The sequence below is a fragment of the Homo sapiens genome, chromosome 6 (assembly GCF_000001405.40).
Source record: "Homo sapiens chromosome 6, GRCh38.p14 Primary Assembly".
In the NCBI taxonomy this organism is placed as follows: Eukaryota; Metazoa; Chordata; class Mammalia; order Primates; family Hominidae; genus Homo; species Homo sapiens.
Window position 1 is genome coordinate 84,837,175 of NC_000006.12, and position 24,937 is coordinate 84,862,111.

The window sequence follows — 24,937 nt, forward strand, 5'->3', positions numbered from 1 at the left end:
AAGGTCTCATAACTATTATGTGGCAATGTTGGAAGATAAACCTAGATAGTTTGACTCCAAAGGCTAAACTTCATTGTTTTCCCATAGTGTTGGTTGGTGCAAAAGTAATTGCGGTTTTTGCAATTACTTTGGCAAAAACCAAAATTACTTTAAAAAAATTTTTTTTGTTTTATTGTACTTTAAGTTCTAGGACACATGTGCAGAACATGCAGGTTTGTTACATAGGTATACATGTGCCATGGTGGTTTGCTGCACCCATCAACCTGTCATCTACATTAGGTATTTCTCCTAATGCTATCCCTCCCCTTGCTCCCCACCCCCGACAGGCCCCAGTATGTCATGTTCCCCTCCCTGTGCCTATATGTTCTCATTGTTCAACTCCCACTTATCAGTGAGAACATGCGGTGTTTGGTTTTCTGTTGTGTGTTAGTTTGCTGACAGTGATGGTTTCCACCTTCATCCATGTCCCTGCAAAGGACATGAACTTATTCTTTTTTATGGCTGCATACTATTCCATGGGGCATATGTACCACATTTTCTTTATGCAGTCTATCATTGATGGGCATTTCGGCTGGTTCCAAGTCTTTGCTATTGTAAATAGTGCCACAATAAACATATGTGTGCTTGTGTCTTTATAGTAGAATAATTTATAATCCTTTGGGTATATACCCAGTAATGGGATTGCTGGGTCAAATGGTATTTCTAGTTCTAGATCCTTGAAGAATCGCCACACTATCTTCTACAATAGTTGAACTAATTTACATTCCCACCAACAGTGTAAAAGTGTTCATATTTCTCCACATTCTCTCCAGCATCTGTTGTTTCCTGACTTTTTAATGATCGCCATTTTAACTGGCATGAGATGGTATCTCATTGTGGTTTTGATTGACATTTCTCTAATGACCAGTGATTATGAGCTTTTTTTCATATGTTTGTTGGCTGCATAAATGTCTTCTTTTGAAAAGTGTCTGTTCATAACCTTCACCCACCTTTCGATGGGGTTGTTTGTCTTTTTCTTGTAAATTTGTTTAAGCTCCTTGTAGATTCTGGATATTAGAGCTTTGTCAGATGGATATATTGCAAAAATTTTCTCCCATTCTGTAGGTTGTCTGTTTATTCTGATAATAGTTTATTTTGCTATGCAGAAGCTCTTTAGTTTAATTAGATTCTATTTGTCGATTTTGGCTTTTATTGCAATTGCTTTTGGTGTTTTAGTCATGAAGTCTTTGCCCATTCCTATGTCCTGAATGGTATTGCCTAGGTTTTCTTCTAGGGTTTTTATGGTTCTAGGTCTTACATTTAAATCTTTAATCCATTTTGAGTTGATTTTTGTATAAGGTGTAAGGAAGGGGTCCAGTTTCAGTTGTATGCATATGGCTAGCCAGTTTTCCCAACACTATTTATTACATAGGAAATCCTTTCCCCGTTGCTTGTTTTTGTCAGGTTTGTCAAAGATCAGTTGGTTGTAGATGTGTGGTGTTATTTCTGAGGTCTCTGTTCTGTTCCATTGTTCTATATATCTCTTTTGATACCAGAACCATGCTGTTTTGGTTACTGTAGCCTTGCAGTATAGCTTTAACTCAGGCAGTGTGATGCCTCCAGCTTTGTTCTTTTTGTTTAGAATTGTCTTGGCTATGTGGGCTCTTTTTTGGTTCCATATGAAATTTGAAGTAGTTTTTTCTAATTCTGTGAAAAAAGTCAATGGTAGCTTGATGAGAATAGCATTGAATCTATAAATTACTTCGAGCAGTATGGCCATTTTCACGATATTGATTCTTGCTATCCATGAGCATGGAATGTTTTTCCATTTGTTTGTGTCCTCTCTTATTTCCTTGAGCAGTGGTTTGTAGTTCTCCTTGAAAAGGTCTTTCGCATCCCTTGTAAGTTGTATTCGTAGATATTTCATTCTCTTTGTAGCAATTGTGAATGGCAGTTCACTGATAATTTGGCTCTCTGTTTGTCTATTATTGGTGTATAGGAATGCTTGTGATTTTTGCACATTGATTTTGTATTCTGAGATTTTACTGAAGTTGCTCATCAGCTTAAGGAGTTTTTGGGCTGAGACGGTGGGGTTTTCTAAATATACAATCATGTCATCTACAAACAGAGGTAATTTGACTTCCTCTCTTCCTATTTGAATATGCTTTATTTCTTTCTCTTGACTAATTTCCCTGGCCAGAACTTCCAATACTATGTTGAATAGGAGTAGTGAGAGAGGGCATTCTTGTCTTGTGCCCTGTTTTCGAAGGAAATGCTTCCAGCTTTTGCCCATTCAGTATGGTATTGGCTGTGGGTTTGTCAGAAACAGCTCTTATTATTTTGAGATACATTCCATCAATACCTAGTTTATTGAGTGTTTTTACCATGAAGGGTGTTGAATTTTATTGAAGACCTTTTCTGCATCTATTGAGATAATCATGTGTTTTTTTGTCATTGGTTCTGTTTATGTGATGGATTACATTTATTGATTTGTGTATGTTGAACCAGCCTTGCATCCCAGGCATGAAGCCAACTTGATCACGGTGGATTAGCTTCTTTTTTTTTTTTTTTTTTTGAGACAGTCTCGTTCTGTCACCCAGGCTAAAGTGCAGTGGTGTGATCTCTGCTCACTGCAAGCTCTGCCTCCTGGGTTCATGCCATTCTCCTGCCCCAGCCTCCCAAGTAGCTGGGACTACAGGTGCCCGCCACCATGCCTGGCTAATTTTTTTATTTTTATTTTTAGTAGATATGGGGTTTCACCCTGTTAGCCAGGATGGTCTCGATCTCCTGACCTCGTGATCCACTTGCCTCCGCCTCCCAAAGTGCTGGGATTACAGACGTGAGCCACTGTGCCCAGCCAGATTAGCTTTTTAATGTGCTGCTCCATTCGGTTTGCCAGTATTTTATTGAGGATTTTTGCATCAATGTTCATCAGAGATATTGGCCTGAAATTTTCTCTTTTTGTTGTAATTCTGCCAGATTTTGGTATCAGGATGATACTGGCCTCATAAAATGAGTTAGGGAGGAGTCCCTCTTTTTCCATTGTTTGGAGTAGTTTTAGAAGGAATGGTACCAGCTCTTCTTTGTACCTCTGGTGGACTTCGGCTGTGAATCTGCCTGGTCTTGGACTTTTTTTGGTCGGTAGGCTATTAATTACTGCCTCAATTTCAGAACTTGTTATTGGTCTATTCAGGGATTCGACTTCTTCCTCGTTTAGTCTTGAGAGCGTGTATGTGTCCAGGAATTTATCAATTTCTTCTAGATTTTGTAGTTTATTTGCATAGTGGTGTTTATAGTATTCGCTGATGGTAGTTTTTATTTCTGTGGGATCAGTGGTGATATCCCCTTTATCATTTTTTATAGTGTCTATTTGATTCTTCTCTCTTTTCATCTTTATTAGCCTGGCTAGCAGTCTGTCTATTTTGTTAATCTTTCAAAAACCAGCTCCTGGATTCATTGATTTTTTGAAGTATTTTTCTTATCTCTATCTCCTTTAGTTCAGCTTTGATCTTAGTTAATTCTAGTCTTCTGCTAGCTTTTGAATTTGCTTGCTCTTTCTTCTTTTCTTGCTAGCTCTTTTAATTGTGGTGTTAGGGTGTCAATTTTAGATCTTTCCCACTATCTCCTGTGGGCATTTAGAGCTGTAAATTTCCGTCTAAACACTGCTTTAGCTGCGTCCAAGAAATTCTGGTAAATTGTGTCTTTGTTCTCATTGGTTTCAAAGAACTTATTTATTCCTGCCTTGATTTCATTATTTACCCAGTAGTCATTCAGGAGCAGGTTGTTCAATTCCCGTGTAGTTGTGTGGTTTTAATCCTGAGTTCTAATTTGATTGCACTGTGGTCGGAGAGACTGTTTGTTATGATTTCCACTTCTTTATATTTGCTGAGGAGTGTTTTACTTCCAATTATGTGGTCAATTTTAGAATAAGTGCTATGTGGTGCTGAGAAGCATGTATATTCTGTTGATTTGGGGTGGCAAGTTCTATAGATGTCTACTAGGTCCACTTGGTCCAGAGCTGAGTTCAAGTCCTGCATATCTTTGTTAATTTTCTGTCTTGTTGATCTGTCTAATATTGACAATGGGATGGTAAAGTCTCCCACTATTATTGTGTGGGAGTCAAAGTCTCTTTGTAGGTCTCTAAGAACTTGCTTTATGAATCTGGGTGCTACTGTATTGGGTGCATATATATTTAGGATAGTTAGCTCTTCTTGTTGCATTGATCCCTTTATCATTATGTGATGCCCTTGTCTCTTTTGATCTTTGTTGGTTTAAAGTCTGTTTTATCTGAGACTAGGATTGCAACACCTGCTCTTTTTTTTGTTTGTTTTGCTTTCCATTTGCTTGGTAAATCTTCCTCCATTCCTTTATTTTGAGCCTATGTGTGTCTTTGCATGTGAGATGGGTCTCCTGAATACAGCATACTGATGGGTCTTGACTCTTTATCCAACTTGCCAGTCTGTGTCTTTCAATTGGGGCATTTAGCCCATTTACATTTAAGGTTAATATTGTTATGTGTGAATTTGATCCTGTTATTATGATGCTAGCTGGTTATTTTGCCCATTAGTTGCTGCAGTTTCTTCATAGTGTCGATGGTCTTTACATTTTGGTATGTTTTTGCCCTGGCTGTTGCTGGTTTTTCCTTTTCATATTTAGTGCTTCCTTCAGGAGCTCTTGTAATTCAGGCCTGGTGGTTACAATATTCCTCAGCATTTGCTTGTCTGTAAAGGAATTTATTTCTCCTTCACTTATGAAGCTTAGTTTAGCTGAATATGAGATTCTGGGTTGAAAATTCTTTTCTTTAAGAATGCTGCATATTAGCCCCCACTCTCTTCTGTCTTGTAGGGTTTCTGCAGAGAGATCCACTGTTAGTTTGATGGCTTCTCTTTGTGGGCAACCCTACCTTTCTATCTGGCTTCCCTTAACATTTTTTCCTTCATTTCAACCTTGGTGAATCTGACAATTATGTGTCTTGGGGTTGCTCTTCTCGGGGAGTATCTTTGTGGTGTTCTCTGTATTTCCTGAATTTGAATGTTTGCCTTTCTTGCTAGGTTGGGGCAGTTCTCCTGGATCATATCCTGAAGAAGGTGTTTTCCAACTTGGTTCCATTCTTCCTTTCACTTTCTGGCACACCAATCATCGTAGGTTTGGTATTTTCACATAGTCCCATATTTCTTGGAGGCTTTGTTTATTCCTCTTCATTTTTTTTTCTCTAATCTTGTCTTCACACTTCATTTCATTAAATTGATCTTCAATCTCTGATATTCTTTCTTCTGGTTCATCAATTCAGCTATTGATACTTGTGTATGCTTCTTGAATTTCTCGTGCCGTGAAAAACTGCAATTACTTTTGGACCAACCAAATAGATTGCACTTGCTTCTTGTTAATGTTCTTTGTTGGAAAAATTGTATTTTAAATCCCAAATTCTGGGAACCACTAGACTCTTCTCTCTGCTGTATCAGCTAACATGTTGCAAGTAGGCCTGAGAGGAGTGGACAGAGTGGGCAGGCTTGGAAAGCATTATCCAGACCATTGCATCTCCTATGTGGTCAGCATGGAGAGAGATTGCAAAGGCAAGTGTGGTTCTGATATTGCCACAGACATTTCTGCAAAGTCACTGGCTACAGAAACAAAAAGGTCAGAGAGAGGTGTTTTGGCTCTCATGACACCATGGTGGGGTGTTATCACCTCAATAATATTGCCAGCACCATCACAAAGAACACTACCTTCAACATAAGAAAGAAAACCTCCCAGAGGCAGCACATGCTGAGAAAATATGGCTGCAGTCCAGGAGGCTGTTTCCAGAAACCACACCCAGCTGAGAGCCCTCATCCCAGCTGGGAAGTCTGGTTATTGTTTGGATCAGCTCATAAAGTCCCTATGGGACTCCTTTGCTCTGTCTGATGGTAACAATAGAACACAGCTCTGGGAAGTTGGATCTCTTGTGCTGTTACATCCCTTGCTTAATATGTCAATGTATCCTTGTCAGGCATGATGGTGTGAATATGAGAGGTTAAGTTCACTGAATTAATCTGTATATGCTCCAGAAGTTTACCTTAATAAAGTAAAGGTTTTCTAGGTCCAGCCGTTACTAGTGTTAAGGCTTGAAAGAAATTTGGAATCTGTATCCTACAAATACAGTGAAGTACATCTACACTAAACCCCAAGTAAACTAAAATCCAAGCACAGTATTAGTTTTCCAGGAACATAAAAACATGACAGTGTTTATAGTATTAGAAAATCCTACTATTCAGTCATCATTCGTATATGTCAAGAAAAGGGCAAATGCCTACATCACATTGCATATTTGTGAAGACAGTTCTTTGGTTTCTAGCTCTGTGCTCTCACTGGGGATCTGTGTCATTTTATTCAAATCTAGCCATGCTGTTTTTATTATTATACCAATGATGCATTGCTCAAAGTTGTCTTTAGTGTATGCTTTTATTCCACATTGATGATGCATTGCTTGAAGTTGTTCTTTTAATGTCTTTATTTTGAATAACAGCTACCATTGACTAAGCTCCTACCTATGTGCCAGCCACCAGTCCAAGGAATTTATATATTTTATCACACTTATTTATTATAACAACTCCTTGAGGCAGGTACAGTATTCCCATTTTATAGATGAAGAAATGAAATTGAGGTAGTGTAGTTTTCCTAAGGTGAGGGGTCAGGAGCAGAGTTTGGATTCAAACAAAGCAGGTCTTTCTGACTCCAAGGTCCACTCTCTTTCCACTACACCAGGGCTCTGTCCTCTGTCTTTTCCGGTGATTATTCTCTAGGTATGTGCAATTATTGGACTTCTGCTTGCCACACAGCAGCTCCTGGGTCTTGCTACCTCCCTGCCCCACAAGTCCTGTTCAGTATGGTGCTGGGCCATGGGATCATGCCTCAACTCCTGCTGCCCAACAGATATTGGTAGAGATTCTAGATTCAAGATCTTAGATATTTAGTTCTGCCAGTTAGTGATAAGTGGGTGCTGCCAAAGCTTACTCTTAAAATTGCTTAAAGAAACAGCTTTCTCATTTTACAATCATAGAGAAAGTTGATAGAACTTTACTTTGAGAACACCATTGTTGTATAGAAAGTGTCTTGATTTTGGTGCTTCAGTTTTCTGCCAGCTCATTATTGAGCAGCCTACTCTTAGGGTAGCAGAGTTCGGCTTTCAGATCCATATAATGAAAGGGAAATTTGGATATGTGGTGGATTTCACTGAATTGGATTGATGTGGTTTTCTTCTACAGTAGAAAGTGATTTTCCTGAAATGGTCCATGTCTTTGTTGTTAGAGCAGATAATGTAAATAATAGTCTTGAGGTTTTTTTGATGATGCCTATATTATACTTAAATGGAAGATTTTACAATATGGCTGGAAATATAATCTAAGAGCAGATTTCATATAAATATTTGAAATTTATTTCAACAAATATTTACCGAATATGTATTATGTGTCAGACCTGCTCTAAACACTGGAGATAAAGCAATGGAAAAAGCTGATAAAAAAGTTCCTGCATTTAGGGAGCTTATGTCCTGCTGTGGAGAGATAGCCAATAAACAAATAGGTAAAACATATAGTATGTCAGATGGTTTAAGTACTATGGAGAAAAGAAAAGCAGGACATGACAGTGAAGAGTGGTGGAGTAGGAGGAGTATTGCAATTTTTTTATTGGGAATAAAAAGGGAAGGCCTCATCAAGAGAATGACATTTGAGCAAAGATGTGCAAGAGCTGAGGGAGTGAGCTGCATGGATACTGGAAGGAAGAGTATTCCAGACAGAGGAAACCAAGGCCCAGGGAGCATGCCTGGCATGTTGGGGAATTGAAAAGGTGGCCAGTATCAATCAAGTGAGCCAGGAGAAAGCAGTAGGAGGCCAGGCCAGTGAGACAGTGTGTGTGTGGCCATGTGAGCTGTGGTGTAACTGTGGCTATTGCTCTGTGTTGGGGAAGACCCCAGACTGTTTTAAATAGAAAAAGACGTACATATTAACAGGATCCTCTGGCTGCTGTGTTGAGAATAGATATTGTTGAAAATAGAGAGTAGTACCAGTATATTAGTTCTCTACACTGTGTAACAAATTATCAGAAACTTAGCAGCTTAAAATAACATCCATCTATTATCTCACAGTTTCTGTGGCTCAGGAGTCGAGGCACAGCTTAACTGGGTCCTCTCAAGGCTGCAGTCAAGATGTCAGCCAGGACTGGGTCTCATCTGGAGGCTCGGTTAGGTAAGGAGCTGCTTTCAGGCTGTCTCAGGTTGTTGGCAAAGTTCATATTCTTGCAGCTGTGCGATTCAAGGTAGCTGTCTTCCTGAAAGCCAGCAATGGAAAGAGAAAGAGAGAAACACACACGTGCGCATGTGCACACACACACACACACACACACACACACACAGATTTCAGAGCAGGTCTGCTAGCAATACAGTCTTATATAATATAATGAAATCATGGCCGTAATATCCCATGACCTTGGCCATAATGCATTGGTTAGAAGCAAGCCACAGACCCTATCTGCACTCAAGGGGAGGAGATTCCACAAAAGTGTGAATACCAGGAGGTGAGGGGTCACAGAGTTCATCTTGAAGTCTATTGGCCACAATTAAGAAAAACAAATGAGGAGGCTCTAATATAAAAATTAGACTGAAGGAATAAAATAGAATCCCTTATATGATCTTTATGTCCTTGGTGCTGATAATGTATTGAACTGTATAGGACTAATCTGGATGTCATAAGCCAGAGACTTTCACCAACTTCTCTGAGCATCTTTTGGCCTCTCTCAGTCGTCCTTGCCTTCCCTAGTTCCTCACCATCAGGTCCGTAATGTCCTTCCCTGAGTGCTAGTGCCCATCAAAGTTCTCCAGTCCATCTTCTCTGAGACAAAACCTGCATTACTCCAATCCCCATTCTGTGGCCAGGACTGCTCCCAGCAGCCACATGGGGCTACTGTTGTGTGTTCCTATGAAATAGACAGCAGAGCCCAAGGCTGGGCTCCAGGACTGTTTGCTAAGTCTGACAGTGGGTCTGCGCTCCTCATGATGACTCTTTCTGTTTGGCCTTGAATTAGAGTTCACCCATCTTCAGAGTCCCCTTCTCCTGATAGTTCCTGAATGCCTGGTCAGAGTCGTGATCTCAATGCTTTCCTCTTGTTGCTGGCATCTTCCTTGATCTCTTCTGGCAAATTCCTGTTCTGGTTGCCTATACTGTATTCTTGGCCTTTTCAAGACTAAAGTCATGCCCCCACCACTCTTTACAATCTGGTGTCCTTCCCTACATCCCATTTGGTTATTCCTGCCTGAACCACTGAGGATTGACAATGTCATGTTTTTCCCAATGCTTGCCACTGTGGCCTTACATCACCTCTCAGACTAGCTCCTCCAGCCAGCCCAGGATTCTTCTTAAGTATTTTTACATTAAGAGCAAAATTTTTTTCATTGTTGATAAACGGTATGATACCACACAGCCAAGGTTGCCGCATAATGCCCAGGGTCCGGACTCAAAGTTTAATGAGATACTTTCACAATCTATAAATGAAATAAAGAGTCCTTTCTTGGCCAGGCACGGTGGCTCATGCCTGTAAGCTCAGCACTTTGGGAGGCCGAGGCGGGTGGATCACCTGAGGTCAGGAGTTCGAGACCAGGCTGGCCAACATGGCGAAACCCTGTCTCTACTAAAAATACAAAAGAAAATTAGCTGGGTGTGGTGGCACGCACCTGTAATCCCAGCTACTTGGGAGGCTGAAGCAGGAGAATTGCTTGAACCCGGGAAGTGGAGGTTGCATTGAGCTGAGATCACACCATTGCACTCCAGCCTGGGTGACTGAGCGAGACTCTGTCTCAAAAAAAAAAAAAGAGTCCTTTCTTGTTTCCCCCTTGTGTGTCTTCTGAATCTACCTTTATGTAACATCACATCACTCTTCCACATTTTGGCCTGAAGTTCCACTGTAAATCTGGGACTGCAGATTTAATCAGTCACTCATTAGCACCACACAAAAGCACTGGGCTCAATACTGTTGGTAGGGGTGTAAAGTAACCGGAATATATCTGTTCCTGTCTCAATCAGGGCTAGAGTTTTTGCGAAGCCATCTGGCTTAAAAAATATATTTTTGGTAGCCTCTTGCCTTTCCACATAAAATAAGTGGTGATTTTAGTGTCTCTGGAATTTTTGCAGCATTTCTTTAGTGTTCTCTTTGTTGAGGAAAAATACATGACTCTCCTCATTTAGCACTTCTCCTGGTCAGGAAATCTCAGTTAGTCTGCTAACAAGCCTGTCAAGTCAGCTTGCCCTTCTCCTCTTCCATCTGTCTTCTCAAATTCTTCACACCTTTAACATTTCTTGGAAATGTTTTTTTATTCACTTAGTCTGCAGACCTAATTGCCTCATACCTCCACACCCAGCCTAGAGTCTCAGCACAGAGACTGTTCTATCTCATAAAAGCTTCCCATAGCCTGTAGCTTCTTATCTTCCCTTGTCAAAAAATTCCTCTGACCCCACCCCTTTATATGCTCCGGCCCTCAGTCTGTTATTCCCCAATCACCAATTAAATGGTTATTTAATATTCTCCATAAACATACAAGGCTCAATAGGATACCCTGTGCCAAAACCACGATGAGGTCTTTGTCCTGAAGACCTCACATTCTGATGTCACTCTGGCTGTTATCAACACATTAGGACAATAACTGTATGTTGGCTCCATGGAAGAGCACCATCCAAGAGAGCAGCATTGCTTCCAAATTTTTTTTGAGAGGGCCCATATCAGGCATTTAGCTTGTGCGAGTCAATTCAGGTCCTTCATCAAAGTCTGCACTAAGCAGATCTGCCCCTGACACACAGTGCAGCTCTCCTTTAAGTCAACAAGAGCCTCTGGTTTTGTGAGTCATCCTTTCCCAGGCATTAAGGCTTAGGTATAGTTTTGATAAAAGACAGTTGAAGTTGTTACAGCTAGTTCACTTAACCCTTATTTTGGGAGTCTATCAGCCCAGAATTTCCTAATTCTGCCATAAAGACTTCCTAGCTAAGCATATGGAAGCCCTGCTGGATATATAAGTAGGCATTCAAATAGTACTGAATGACAAAAAATATATATATAGTTGGTTCTTCAAGTAGCTTGAAGGAAGGGGTAAGGGAAAGGATATGGGCTTTGTAGTCAGTCAGACTAACATTTGAATCAAGCTTACTATAAATCGTATTTTCTCTGAATCTCAGTTTTCATTTCTGTAAATGGGGATAATAATACATCTCACATGGCTCTTGATAGAATTAAATACACAAATACGCCTTGTGGAGTGCCAGGCCCCTAGTGAGCATTTCCCCCTGTTGAAGTGGGTGATGGCATTTTGACAATCAAAGCCCATACACTAGGATGCTTATGCTAGCTCTTTACAGATGAGGACAGCCAAAGTGCTTGCCTCAGTGGCCTTGCCTCAGGAATGACACAGATTCAGAATTTGTCCTACTGTTTTTGTTTCACTCAGTCTTGGCTAAAGGAAGTGCAATAAAGCAGTAACACTTTAGATTAGTTTCAGGCATACTCATAAAATATGGAAACCTTCAGGAACCAGAAGATTCTTAAATTTTCTGAGGACTAATACAGAGGCACCGAAGAGATTTTTAAAAAATAAAATGTACAACAAAGCTTAGGATCCACCAATAAAGTCAACTCTGACTTATTATTATTCATCTTCTTTATGTGAGAAGAATCTTACAGGTGATGTTCAGGAGGGCAGGAGACAATTTCAGAGAGAAACACTTCAGGCTTTCTGGGCCACACCAGCCTCTTTAGTTTTTCCCTGTACACCTTCATGTGTTGGGAGGATGAGAGTCTGTGAGTGTCAGAAAGGAATATATGTGTGTTTGTATGTGTGTATGAGGCTAGGGCTGATGGTGTATTTCTTTTTTAAAAAAGTAAGATTGAGAGTGGATTAATTATTTACTGCTTTGGATCCTATTCAACACTTTAGCACTTTGTATTTTCTGCACTATTGTGCTTTGTCATGTTATCTTATAATTACATGGCTAGACAACTTGATTTATGGCCTATACACAATATCTTTGGTTCACCAAATATTGTACAGCTACATGAGCAACTTGTTGTTGTCGTTGTTTTACCAAGAAGTAAGCAAATAATCTTAAAAACAACAAACAAAAAGCATCAGAACTGTATTTGGATCTCACTTCAGTATACAAGTATTTTTTAGCAGGTTATTTAAGGGCTAGTATCAGCTGGGTGGTCTTTTTATTATATTTTCTTTTCCAAAGTTAATTGGCTATAAATTCACTTTTAAAAATCTTGTTGTATATATAGCCTTAGCATAGGGCAAAGAAAAATAACCTTCTATAAGATACTATGTCACCATTATTAAGATTCATCAATAGTCAAGCTCTATGCATATCCCAAACTTGAAAGTTATTCTGTCATTTACAATCATAAGAATGTATAAGATTAGAAATTTACTATTAAAAAGATAGAGTTTTAATTGATCCCTGTTTTACTGTTAAGCATGTAAATGATCTGTGAAATTTAAGATGACTTTGAGCATATAAGACAAATTCCATGAAGTCTGTCACAGCTTCAGAAATTAAATGATCTAACATTTTGGGAGGTTCTAACTGCTTATATATAATTATATTTTTAGTCAATAATAAAATTAAAAAGTAGTCAAAGGTAAAAATAATAACAAAGTATTACTATTTATATTTGGAAGAACGTATGCCATTAGAATTTATAGTTTTATTTACTTATTGAGGTTACAGGTGATACCTATTTCTGATAGCACTTGTGGATCCAAATAATCACCAAGAGTAGGCCCATTATCAGTACATGCTCCCATAGTAGTATTTCTGCCTATGACAATCCTGCAGAATCTAGTACAACCTTGGTTTCTTGGTGTTAGAATGTTGGAAATTGCAGAACTGAGGGAAAAGCAAATCCACTGGGTGAAGGAACCTATGAGGAATCTCAAAACTAGAACCCTCAGCTTGGAGAGGGGAGGAAAGTGATTTTAAAATAACTAATTAAATGTTTTTTAAAGGATTTTAGAAATAAAAATTTAGTGTAAATGTGAAGCCATTTTAACTTCAGCCTTAAAATTCATAATTAAATAAATAAAAATAATAGAATTATAGAAGGAAGCCACTAGATATTGATCTCTAGTTTCTCCAAATTCATCTCTAGGATCACACCAGGATCAGTGCTGTAGATAGCTTCCCCATTTAATTCCTCCCGGAGAGCAAGTCATTAAAGCTCTGTCAGTTGCTCCCTGCAAGATTGAACAATTATTACTGTTAGAAAGTTCTTCTTTATATCCAACCTCATTTCTCATGGTGCATATTGAAAATTATTTCCTCTTCGGTAGTGTTTTTTAGAAATAAAATCAGCTACATTCCAACCTCCATGGGGTAGGGAGAAAGTATTAAAGAGAAAACAGTTTAAGTGATGTTGAGAGTATGTTTTTGTAAGTAATGAACTTACTCAAATGTCTTTGCTAGTGTCTTTGATAAGGAATTTAAACCAAAGGATATATCTCAGAACATAGCTGAGTGTCTGACAATCACTTTGTGTGCTTGTTTATAAGCCAGCAACCTCAAAGACTGTGCATTAAGTGATACCTTCACAGAATCCATTCAATCAATGGGAATGTGTATATATTTAATACCAATAAGAAAGTAAGAATGTCCAACTGGAAGCACGCAATTGCTCTCATGCTCAACCTCTAATATAAAAGGAATATGGGGTAGACATGTGCTCTTAGGGTGGGCTTGAGGGTTCATAAAAGTCCTGAACTGTTCTTTAACTGTGGGAGATACCCCAAATCAAGGAAAAAAGGAAAACATTTATGTGCAGTGTTGGGTTCTGTGTTCTGAGATGGCCTTGTCTATATGCTAACCTTGTCTGTAGACAAATGCTTCACGTCTGCCACTATCTCACTGGCATATTTGGTAGTGGAATTGCACTGTCTGTAAAGTGTTTCAGTTCTTTCAGAAAACATCACATAAATATACAGTAAGGCGTATTTTTTATTATATAGAGCAGAAGCCAAAAACCTCTTGCCAAAGTGATCTTCTAAAATTTTACACCTATTTCATGCATTAGAAAAGAAATATGTATCATATGCTTTCACTTATTTTATGATTAGCTCATCAAATTTGTGTTCTGTGTATACAGAAAGCCAAAAAGCCTTGTGTCTCTCAGGACCCTTCCTCAGCCCCTAATACCTTGCTCCTCTTCTGGCATTGCTTTTTAAAAGATCTGGTCTTGGCCGGACGTGGTGGCTCATGCCTGTAATCCCAGCACTTTGGGAGGCTGAGGCGGGTGGATCACGAGGTCAGGAGATCGAGACCATCCTGGCCAACACGGTGAAACCCCGTCTCTACTAAAAATACAAAAAATTAGCCGGGCATGGTGGCGGGCGCCTTAGTACTCCGAAGGCTGAGGCAGGAGAATGGCGTGAACCCTGGAGGCAGAGCTTGCAGTGAGCCGAGATCGCGCCACTACACTTCAGCCTGGGCGAAAGTGCGAGACTCCGTCTCAAAAGAAAAAAAAAAAAAAATCTGGTCTCACAGGCTCTCAGAAGTTAAATTGAATTTAAACTCAATAATAATACATTGTATTGATCTTTAAAGTTTACAAAGTGTTCATAAACACTTTGTGTTTGATCTTTAAAGAAATCATTTAAAGATCAATACACACAATATATTACAAAGTGTTTTCACATAATTTCATTTGATTCTCACAACTCCTGATAACTCTATGGAGTTAGCCGTGTTGGGAATAATATTCCTATTTTATAGTTTTGGCAATTGAGACTGAGAGAAGAAAGGCTTCATGGCTTGCCTCAAATTATGGAGTTAATAACTAATAGAGCTAGGTCTTGAACCCAAGTCTTGAACCCAGGCTGCTTATGGTAGACAGAACTCTAAAACGACCCCTGATGCCCCTCACCTTTATATAATCTCCTCTGCTGGAGTATCTGTGGAACCTCTGAATAAAATGAAATACCATGCCTGTGATTGTGTTATTTTATATGGCAAAAGGGATTTTGCAGATGTAATTAAGGCCCCAAATCGGTTAACCTTCAAGGGAGATTGCCTGTGTGGGCCTGACGTAATCATATGAGTCCTTAAAATATGGGTTAAGAGGTCAGAGAGACAGAGGAGGCCAGAGAGATTGAAAGCATAAGAGGGATTTGATGCTAGGGAGATTCTCTGTTGCTGGCTTTGAAGGTGGAGAGGTCTCCATGGCAAGGAATGTGGGCAGTCTCTAGGTGCTGAGAGCTGACCTGGCTGACATCTAGCCGGGCGAGGGGCCAGGGGACTCTCAGTCTTATAACTACAAGGAACTGAATTCGACCAATATCCTGAATGAGTTTGGAAGCTGATTCTTCTCCTGGGCCTCCAGATGAGAACTCAGGGTGGCCAACAGCATGATTTTAGGCTTGTGATACTAAGGAAACCCAGTCACACCATGCCAAACATCAGACCTACAGAACTGTGGCATAATAAATGGGTGTTGTTTTAAGCCGTTAAATTGGTGACAATTTGTTATGCAGCAATATCAAACTAATAAACTGCTATTCATTAATATTTATTGAATAATTATTACATGTAAGACATGAATTTTTATTTTTGATCAGTATATTTTGTGCCAATGTCCAGGAGGGTTAGTTAAAAATAAAATAAAAGCAACCCAAGCTTGCTAGAGTAAATTAACAAATATTTCCCTTTCCTTGTGGAATTTAGAGAATTACCATCCCAGTTCCCCTGAAGGTAAGCATGAATATGTCCCTTATTCTGACCAGGAAAAAGAGGAGAGCTGAGATATGTCTATTCCGGGATAATGGCTTACATTTTCCACATTCTCTTTCCCTGTTACAGCCAACTCCAAAACTCTGGAAGAGAAGACAGTGTCACATGGTGGGGTGCCCTGTCAGCCTGGGTCTGGGGAGCAGAACCTCCTGCCAATCTGCTTTGAGCACACCTACCCTGACTGACACACTTGTCTTGTAGGCACTGTGGCCACATGTAATACTGAGATTCATAAACACTGAATGCCACCCCACTGCACATCAGCAATGAAAGCCATGTCTTCTGTTCCTAGGACCTTTTGCTACATACTTTTTGGATAAGAAAAAAATAGAGCTTAACTTACCACCATTTTTTTTCTCCAACTAGGTTAGAGGTGAGAAAAGGAATGAAAGAAGTGGGTAAGACTGAGGAGATGAGAAAAACAAGAAAGAACAGATAGTTCTCTGGCTGAGCTACAATTATTAACTGCCACTAGCTAGACTCTGTGGGGTCCCCAAATATCAGTAACTATAGCCCCACTTCCCATGAGATGTTGACACCCAACATCAGTCATTAGTATAGTAAGGAGTTGAAATGAGGAAATCGTGAACCTTAAATATGTTAAGATGTTTCCATTCTCTAGATTTGCTAGAACACATTTTCCTAATCTGAGAAAATGAAACCAAGGCTGTAAACAAACTATTATGTGGGCTTGCTTTTACATGTCATATTTCTCTGTTTCATTTCTGTAGAAAACTTGGAAAATAGGCATATATGGTAGCCAAGTTAAAGAAACAGTTTTTAAATATATACCAGAACATAGTAACTAACAGATGTAACACAAATTTTTATTTTCTTTGCAACTATTCTTATAATCCTTCATCAGCTATCTTCTTTCTAAGCTGCAATATTACATAAAATACTTCCTATTAAAAGAGCCATTAAAGTTTGAGAATTTTAAGTGAGCCAAATTGAATAAGTTGGTTTCCTTAGCCATAAATAAGCATATTTTGAAAATAAACTTTTTTGGGAGGTAAATTCCATAAAGCTGCTAACAAGTAGAGGTCAAAGTGAGCATCTGTCAAAAATATTATTTCAAGAAGTTTTGATACAAAGCAGGGAAATGCTACATAATGTTTAAGCTCTTGGTTTCCAGGCTTATTTCATCATCACTGTTTTTTCCATTTATTGACTAATCAGATGAATCAACTCTAAAGAAGTTTCTTTCATCTATTTGTGAAATTTTTCAAGTAGATTTTTCTCAAACTAAATTAGATAGAGGATTTCTTTAGAAATTTAAAATTTCTGGAAATCAAAAGTAAAATGGACTTTTAAAATTTATTTTTCTTGTAGTATGAAAAGAAGAAGATATTTTAAAAGTGTGGTTTGATTTTCTTCTTTCCTTTGCAAATCAATTTTTCACATTTTAACTTAATTCTGAAGGGATTGCAAGTTGAATATCCTTCAAGGGCTTTCTCTCTCTCATATATAACACCAGCATTTTGAACAGAATATAATTTCCATGGTACTATAATATAATTATTAGTGAAACAAGTGTAGATGGTGAATTATGAAGATCCCCCTAATTCCAACTGCAGTGAACATTTGGGGTTAGGAATGATCCTCATCGAAACCAGCATCTTGGCTTGCTTAGGGGGAAGTGCACGTTGGGAGGATAAAGGAAGGCTAGACTACATAAAACTCATACCTGGAACCCCATGAAGTTTCCGTACTTCCCCCACTGCCATATTCAAGTTCTTCATCAGCTTGTTAATTTCATTCTAACAAGATTTTTTTCTTATATGAGCAAATTTTCTCTTCAGAAAATACATGCAGCAAGTAATTTCAATCTGGCCATTAAACAAGAGTGCCATTGAAGGCAGAAAGGCGCCAAGTTTTTGAGTGTGAGTTGTTTCCTTTTCTCCGCAAAAGAAACATACATTTAGTATTTTTTCATTTAAAGACATGCCCGCCCACAAACATCTGAGAAACATCTGTAGACAAAATGCCAAAATGCATAGTCGAATTTTGACTCACACCTCACCACCCACCAAGACCCCTGTCAACTCACAATAAACACCTTTCTGGCATCTGCCCCAGAGAAAGAAACGCCACATTACCCAAAGGTCAGAGCAAACAGATGTCACTTATTGCAGACCCTAATCATATCCATATCCAACCTTAGGAGGCCTGCAGTGGAGCTGACTTCTGGACTACGGGTTCCTCCAGTTGGAGATGCTTATCACTGTGTCCTCCCTCCTGATTTGAGCAAGGGGGGCCTTAGGAGGGCTTATCTCTAGAGACTGTCCCTGCATCCTGCTGACAGAGCCCATGATTGAGCACTAGGGTTAAGGAAGCAGAAGGGAATTCTTCGTGGTTGGCCTGCACTTAGCAGTCGCTCTGTTTCTCACCCTGACAGGCTTGCAATATTCTTGCAAATATACTCCCTCATCAACCTCCCTGTCTCTGTTCTTATTGCATTTTGCACACATCTCTGTGCCTCCTTTTATAGCCTTCATCATGTTCAATAACATTAGTTTACCTATTTCACCCCTACAAGACAGCATTTCAGCTAGAGGAAAGAAACAAAAGGAAAGGAAGGAAACAGAGAAGCGGGGATATGGTATTTATAGAAGAACTTTAATAGACAACATTGGCAGTGCAATTTAGTGGGGTTTTTTTAATGGATAAAGAAAATGTAATATGTACACACACAATGGAATATTATTCAGCCAAAAAAAATGAAGGAAATTCTGCCATTAGGGACAGCATGGATATACCTGGAGAATATTTTGCTAAGTGAAATAAGCAAGATACAGAAAGAAAATATTGTGTGATCTCACATGTGGGATCTAAAAAAGTTGAACTCATAGAAGCAGAAAGTAGAATGGTGGTTGCCAAGGGTTGGAGAGAGAAGTTGGTCAAAGGGTTCCAACTTCCAGTTATAAGTTGAATAAATTCTGAGGATCTAATGTATAGCATGGTGACTGTAGTTAATAATACTATATTTTATACTTGAAACTTGCTAAGAGAATAGATCTTAAGTGTTCACACCAGACACACACACACACATGCACACACACATGAAAAAGATAATGTGAGATGATGGATGTGTTAATTAACTTGATTATGGTAATCATTTCACAATGTATGCCTCTATCAAATTATCATATTGTATACCTTAAATATATACAATTTTTAGTTGTTAATCATATCTCAATAAAGCTAGAGGAAAACATTTTTTAAATAAAAATGAGCAAAAAAATTGAGGAACATAGCTTACTTTCCAGAATTTCAGTCCCAGCCAACCTCAAATGCACACAGATACAGGTACCATAAACCTGTAGCCTAAAGGCTAAGCTTTATCCAGTTATTGAATCAATCCTGGCCATGTCTGTCAGTATATTAGGGGTTCTCTTTCCCAGTGACTGAGTGACAGTTATGCCACATAAGCCTAGTACCTAGTGATCCTGGAGTGGTTCCACATGCTTCCTGAAATTTTTTCTCTCTTCTTATGACTGAGCATTTGTTTTCTGTGTGTTTGTGTACCAATTTCCCCCCACTTGAACTACATCCCTCCTCTGGTTCTTAAACCACTGATTGTAGCCTTCCAGCCAGGCTTATCCACTTAACCTCCCCTGGAGACTGGACCCTGTCCTCTGGTTAGGCAGTGCTCCAGTGATGACAACAACAAGTTCTACTTAGAATCTATTTCTTCAAACAACTTGTTTATATTATTGGCAATTCCAATAAAAAATTTAAGCTATATAGGATGGTCCCCTTTTGCAGATATACCATAACACACAATCCGAGATATCTGATGTCCTAGCCAAAGCTAAGTGACTAAATAGTAGAAGAGCAAGGTGTCTCTGATTCCAGAGCATGACCTTCCCACCATATTTCATTGCCTCCTCTCTGGAACATTGACACTATTCACCCTCCATCTTCAAGGGTCTCCTCTTCCATAGATGCTTTGGTGGTGTCTCATCCACCAGACGGAACCCTTAGATATCAATGTCAGAACATACTCTCCTTGAAGACATTAGACTCAGTTTTAGATAATACGATGTTTTTACAGCAATCCCACAAAACTTTAGCATCTTCCCTGAGGCTTTTTTAATATTGTTTTCTGTTATGAGAACGGACAGATGTAAAAAAATGTAGGTGTATAGGGATGTGTTTTTATATAAACATAACTACCATAAAACCTTATCACGTTAGTGCTAATTTTTAGAGAAGTCCAATTTTATTCCTGAGTTGATCACTAGATTTTACAGAAGTGAAGTTTGATATCCCTAAGAGTTTGAAAATGTATATAATTGCAGCTAACCCTTGTTTGCTCTGAACTGAATTATCTATTGAGGAATACAGGGTCTTTTTGTTTTCTTTCCCTCCCCCATCTTCTAAGTCTGTCCAATGAATACCATCGAATAAAAATAATTATTGAGCATCTCTGTAGACACCGTACTGGTCTACACACAGAAAATTCATTTTTCAAATATCCATTAGTGGATTTTATATCTTTGTGACTCTAAACCAGGTCCTTGAGTTGTTTCTTAATAATATAAAAATAAGATATAACCTTTCCAAATATGAGTTTCTTTAAAAGAGTTGATGAGGTATTTCCTTGTTTGTTCAAATCCCTCTTCTCCAGATCCTTAAGGATTTAAAAGTTATTTACATACTTTGCCAGTATATATATTTATTTGATTCCTTTTGTATGGATTTCTCTAGTTCTTTATAGTATGGAGAAAGACATGTATTATATAGGTAATATATGGGTAATGTAATGCTTGCTTCTATATCAAACAACACCCAAATGTATAGTGGTTCAAATACAATAGAAGTTTATTTCTTGCTTACATAAATTATAAAACAGATGTGTCTAATTGAAGGATGTCTTTTTTCAAGTGATAATATAGGAACTCCGATTCTTTCCTTTATATGCCTCTGTCATATTTAACATATCCAATGTGTTCATGCATTTTATCTCAAGTCAGTGAAAGAGGAAATCACTTGGAGGAAAATTCTGCATCGAGGATTTTTTGGGATAGTCACAAAACTGGTAAACATCACTTCTGTTTACATTCCAATACACATGGAACTCAGCATATGATAAAAAGGAGCCTGGGAAATAAAGCCTTAAGTGTGGGTTCTGGAACAAGAGGAAATGAGTTTAGTAATCCCACATTGTGGGGTTAGAGTCAGACAGACTTGGGTTCAAATCCTAGCTCTGCAATAAATTCTTATGTGAATCTTCATGTTTCAATATTCTTGCCTTTTAAGAGATAATAAAACCTATTTTAGTGCTTGCTGTCAAGCTTAAATGGAAGGAATGATATACAAGTGATTAATACATAGTATTATTACTTGAATCAGAAAGGCCAAGATACATTTAGGTTTATGGTTAAACAATTTGTATAACTGTAGATTCTGCCTGGTCCCAAAAGCTTTGTGGGGTCAAGTTGGTCCACATTTTGAAGTTTTAACAGTATTTTACAAGTACATCCCTGTCACTTAGCAACCTAATTAAACATTAAAGAAAATTTATTAATTAGGTACTAAGAATATACAATGGGGAAAGGACAATCTCTTCAGTAAATAGTATTGGGGAAACTGGACATTTACATGAAGAAGAATGAAATTGGACCCTTATCTCATATTCTTTACATAAACCAACTCAAAATGAATTAAAAACTTAAACATATGACCTGAAACTATTAACATAAAACTGCTAGAAGAAAACATAGGAAAAAGCTTCCTGACATTGGCCTGGGCAATTATTGTATTTTTATGTGACATGAAAAGCACAGAAAACAAAAGCAAAAATAGACTAATAGGGCTGCATCAAACTAACAGTCTTCCTTATAACAAAGGGAAGAATCAAGAAAGTGAAGAGACAACCTACAGAATGGGAGAAAACATTTACAAATCATACATCTGATAATGGGTTAATATCCCAAAATATATAAGGATTGCAAACAACTCAATAGCAAGAAGCAAATAATCTGAATTTTTTTTTTTTTTTTTTGAGATGGACTCTCACTCTGTCACCCAGGCTAGAGTGCAGTGGCGTGATCTCAGCTCACTGCAAGCTCCACCTCCCAGGTTCATGCCATTCTCCTGCCTCAGCCTCCTGAGTAGCTGGGACTACAGGCGCCCGCTGCAAATAACCTGATTTTAAAATGGGCAAAGGATCTGAATAGACGTTTCTCCAAAGAAGACATATGAATGGCCAACAGGTATATGAAAAAGAATTGTTCAACATAATTAAGCATCAGGGAAATGCAAATCAAACAGCAATGAGCTATAACCTCACACCTGTTACATGGTGTGTTACAATGGCTATTATCAAAATGATGAAAGATAAGAGGTGTTGGTGAGGAAGGAGAGAAAAGAGAACCCTTGTACACTGTTAGTAGAAATATACATATAGAAATAGAAAGTAGAAATAGAAATATAAATTAGACCGTTCTTAAAATTCTCTTCTTTATGGAAAACAGAATGGTGGTTCCTCAAAATATTAAAAATAGAATTACCACATGATCCAGCAACCCCATTTCTGTATATATAGCCAAAAGAAATAAAGTCAGCATGTCAAAGAGATAGCTGCACTCCCATATTCATTGCAGCATTATTTATAATAGTCTAAATATGAAATCAGCCTAAGTGTTCACCAATGGATGAATGGATAAAGAATATATACAATGGAATACTATTCAGCCTTAAAAAAGAAAATTCTGTCATTTTTGACAACATGGATGAACCTGGAGGATGTTAAGTGACATAAGCCAGGCACAGAAAGACAAATACTGCCAGAGCTCACTTACATACATGGAATCTAAAATAATTAAACTCGTAGAAGCAAAAATTAGAATGGCGGTTACCAGAAGCTGAGGATGGAGGAATGAGGGAAATGTTGGTCAAAAGGACACATAATTGCAGTTAGAGAAAAGTAATAAGTTCAAGATATGTAATGTACAACATGGTGTCTATAGTTAATAATGACGTATACTTGAAAATTGTTAAGAAAGTAGATCTTATATGTTCTTACCACAAACAAAAGTATGTGAGCCGATGGATATTTTAGTTAGCTTAACTAAATGAATTCACAATGTCTACATATACTAAAACTTCACATCGTATATCATAAATATGTCAATTTTTATTAATCAATTAGACTTTAATCAAGGTGAGGAAAAAAGAAAAAATATCATAAATTGGTAGTATATCTTCTGGTGATTTTCCATGCTTGAAGTTATTCCTAACAAAACCTTATGGAGCACACTGAAAAGCTGATTTTGTGTTTCTACTTTGTCATATTTGATTTGGTGAATTGATACAGTTTGGGAGAAATAAAAATAATAGGTGTAATTTAATTCAAACATAATGATAAGTTTCAAATTCTATAACCACAACAAACTTAAAGTTCTCTTCAAATGTCAAAAAGTTGCCAGTCTTAAGAATTATGTCTTCATCAGTAATCCAGGTTCAGATAGGCATTTTGCTGTTTCAAAATCAGAAGTTGCCCAATAACCAAGATCTTAGCATAAATGAAAAGAAAGATCAGAATTATTTTTTGATAGGCTGTGAAATTCCTATGTATTCGCCTTTTGGTTTCCCCAGGTACATTTTACCCTTTATATTTGTTTCACTTTTTTTTTTCGGTGCTAGCAGCAATGAGATTTCTGCCAGAACTAAACTCAGCCACTTCCCTGGGAATGTTCTCCAGTTGCTAATTTCACTACCGGAACTGTGTTCCCTCACATTCTGGCCTATTCCACGCATGCCTCCTCTGGAATAAAGGGTCTGACAGTTCTGTAGATAATGGTAAACATATGTAGCCAATGCTGTGCAATTCTTTTAGAGCCAGAAAGCATTAGTAGGTATTTCGGTTGCTGACAACAACAACAACAACAAATCAGTGTAAAGAACTTCATCAAGCACCAGAACCCACAGAATACTATACGTCAATAATTTTAATGCACGGCAGAATTCTTCTTTTATTCTTTCTTTTTAAAATCATTGGCTAATTATAAATGGAATTCAGACTTATGACAACCTAATTCCAAACTTTAAAACTACAGGGGAAAAAGCTGGGTCAAGGGGGAAAGAGAACATTTCAACTTGTTTACTCTGGATACTATTCCCATTTCAAGTTAGGCCTTTTGATTCTTTACATGTGCAAAAGAACTGACTTCCCTGAGTACACAAGGGACAAATTACATATTGTGATGTCATTGCCTTGCGGATTTCTCATACCACCAAATACATTAGTCACACTGTCAATGTCACGGAGATATAAAAGAAAAAAAATTAAAAGGCATATTATTTTCATATGAGAATCAGTAATGATTTCTCTTTGGATGTATTTCTTCAAAATCATTTCCTAAATCTCAGTGAAACTTAAGAAAGCTACCTTAAAATATAGAATGACATCCTCAGCAGGTCAACTTGTGGTACTGTATTACCAGCCTAATAGAAACATTACTGTGCAGTGATAAATAAGAATAAAATGAAGACTAGAGGCAGTATCTTATTGGGTGTGTAACTTTGATTCATTTAATTGTTTAATTATTCTATATTGTATTTTTATGATTGCAGTGAGACATTTTCATCCAAACATACTGTAAGTTATAATCTACCAGAGTTCTCGTCTATGGTGTTAAATTGATATAGGTGTCTCTAGCCTCCTGCCTACTTTCTCTGGCCTATCCAGTTTAGCAACTTCCTTCTCATGTGCCTGGAAAACCATCTGACATCCCTTACTGTCTGTGTTTTCTCCCCCTGCCCTCTAGCAGATTAGAATTCCTTCCAATCTAATGGTTGAATGACTTTAATATGGAATAGAGTGGTTCAACCCTAAGTAAGTGCTTTTCTACCTAGGCTCAGAACAAAACCTGGAGAACCAATTACAGAGACTCTGTGTAGAGAAAATCATGTTTCAGATCAGGAAGAATTCTACTTGACTGCAGTGAATACAATATCAAAATGTTCAGTTGGCTGAATTCCCTGGATGCGGCTTAACAGAATGTAAGTAAAGAAATGGACACATTAGACTCATTAAAACCTTGTGATATGATGGTGTAAATGAGCCAGAGCTAGAACCATTTGAATTCCATTCACATCAGTCAGTTACTCTGAATATACAAGTGATGGACCATTTCACAGTTGTCCAATATTGA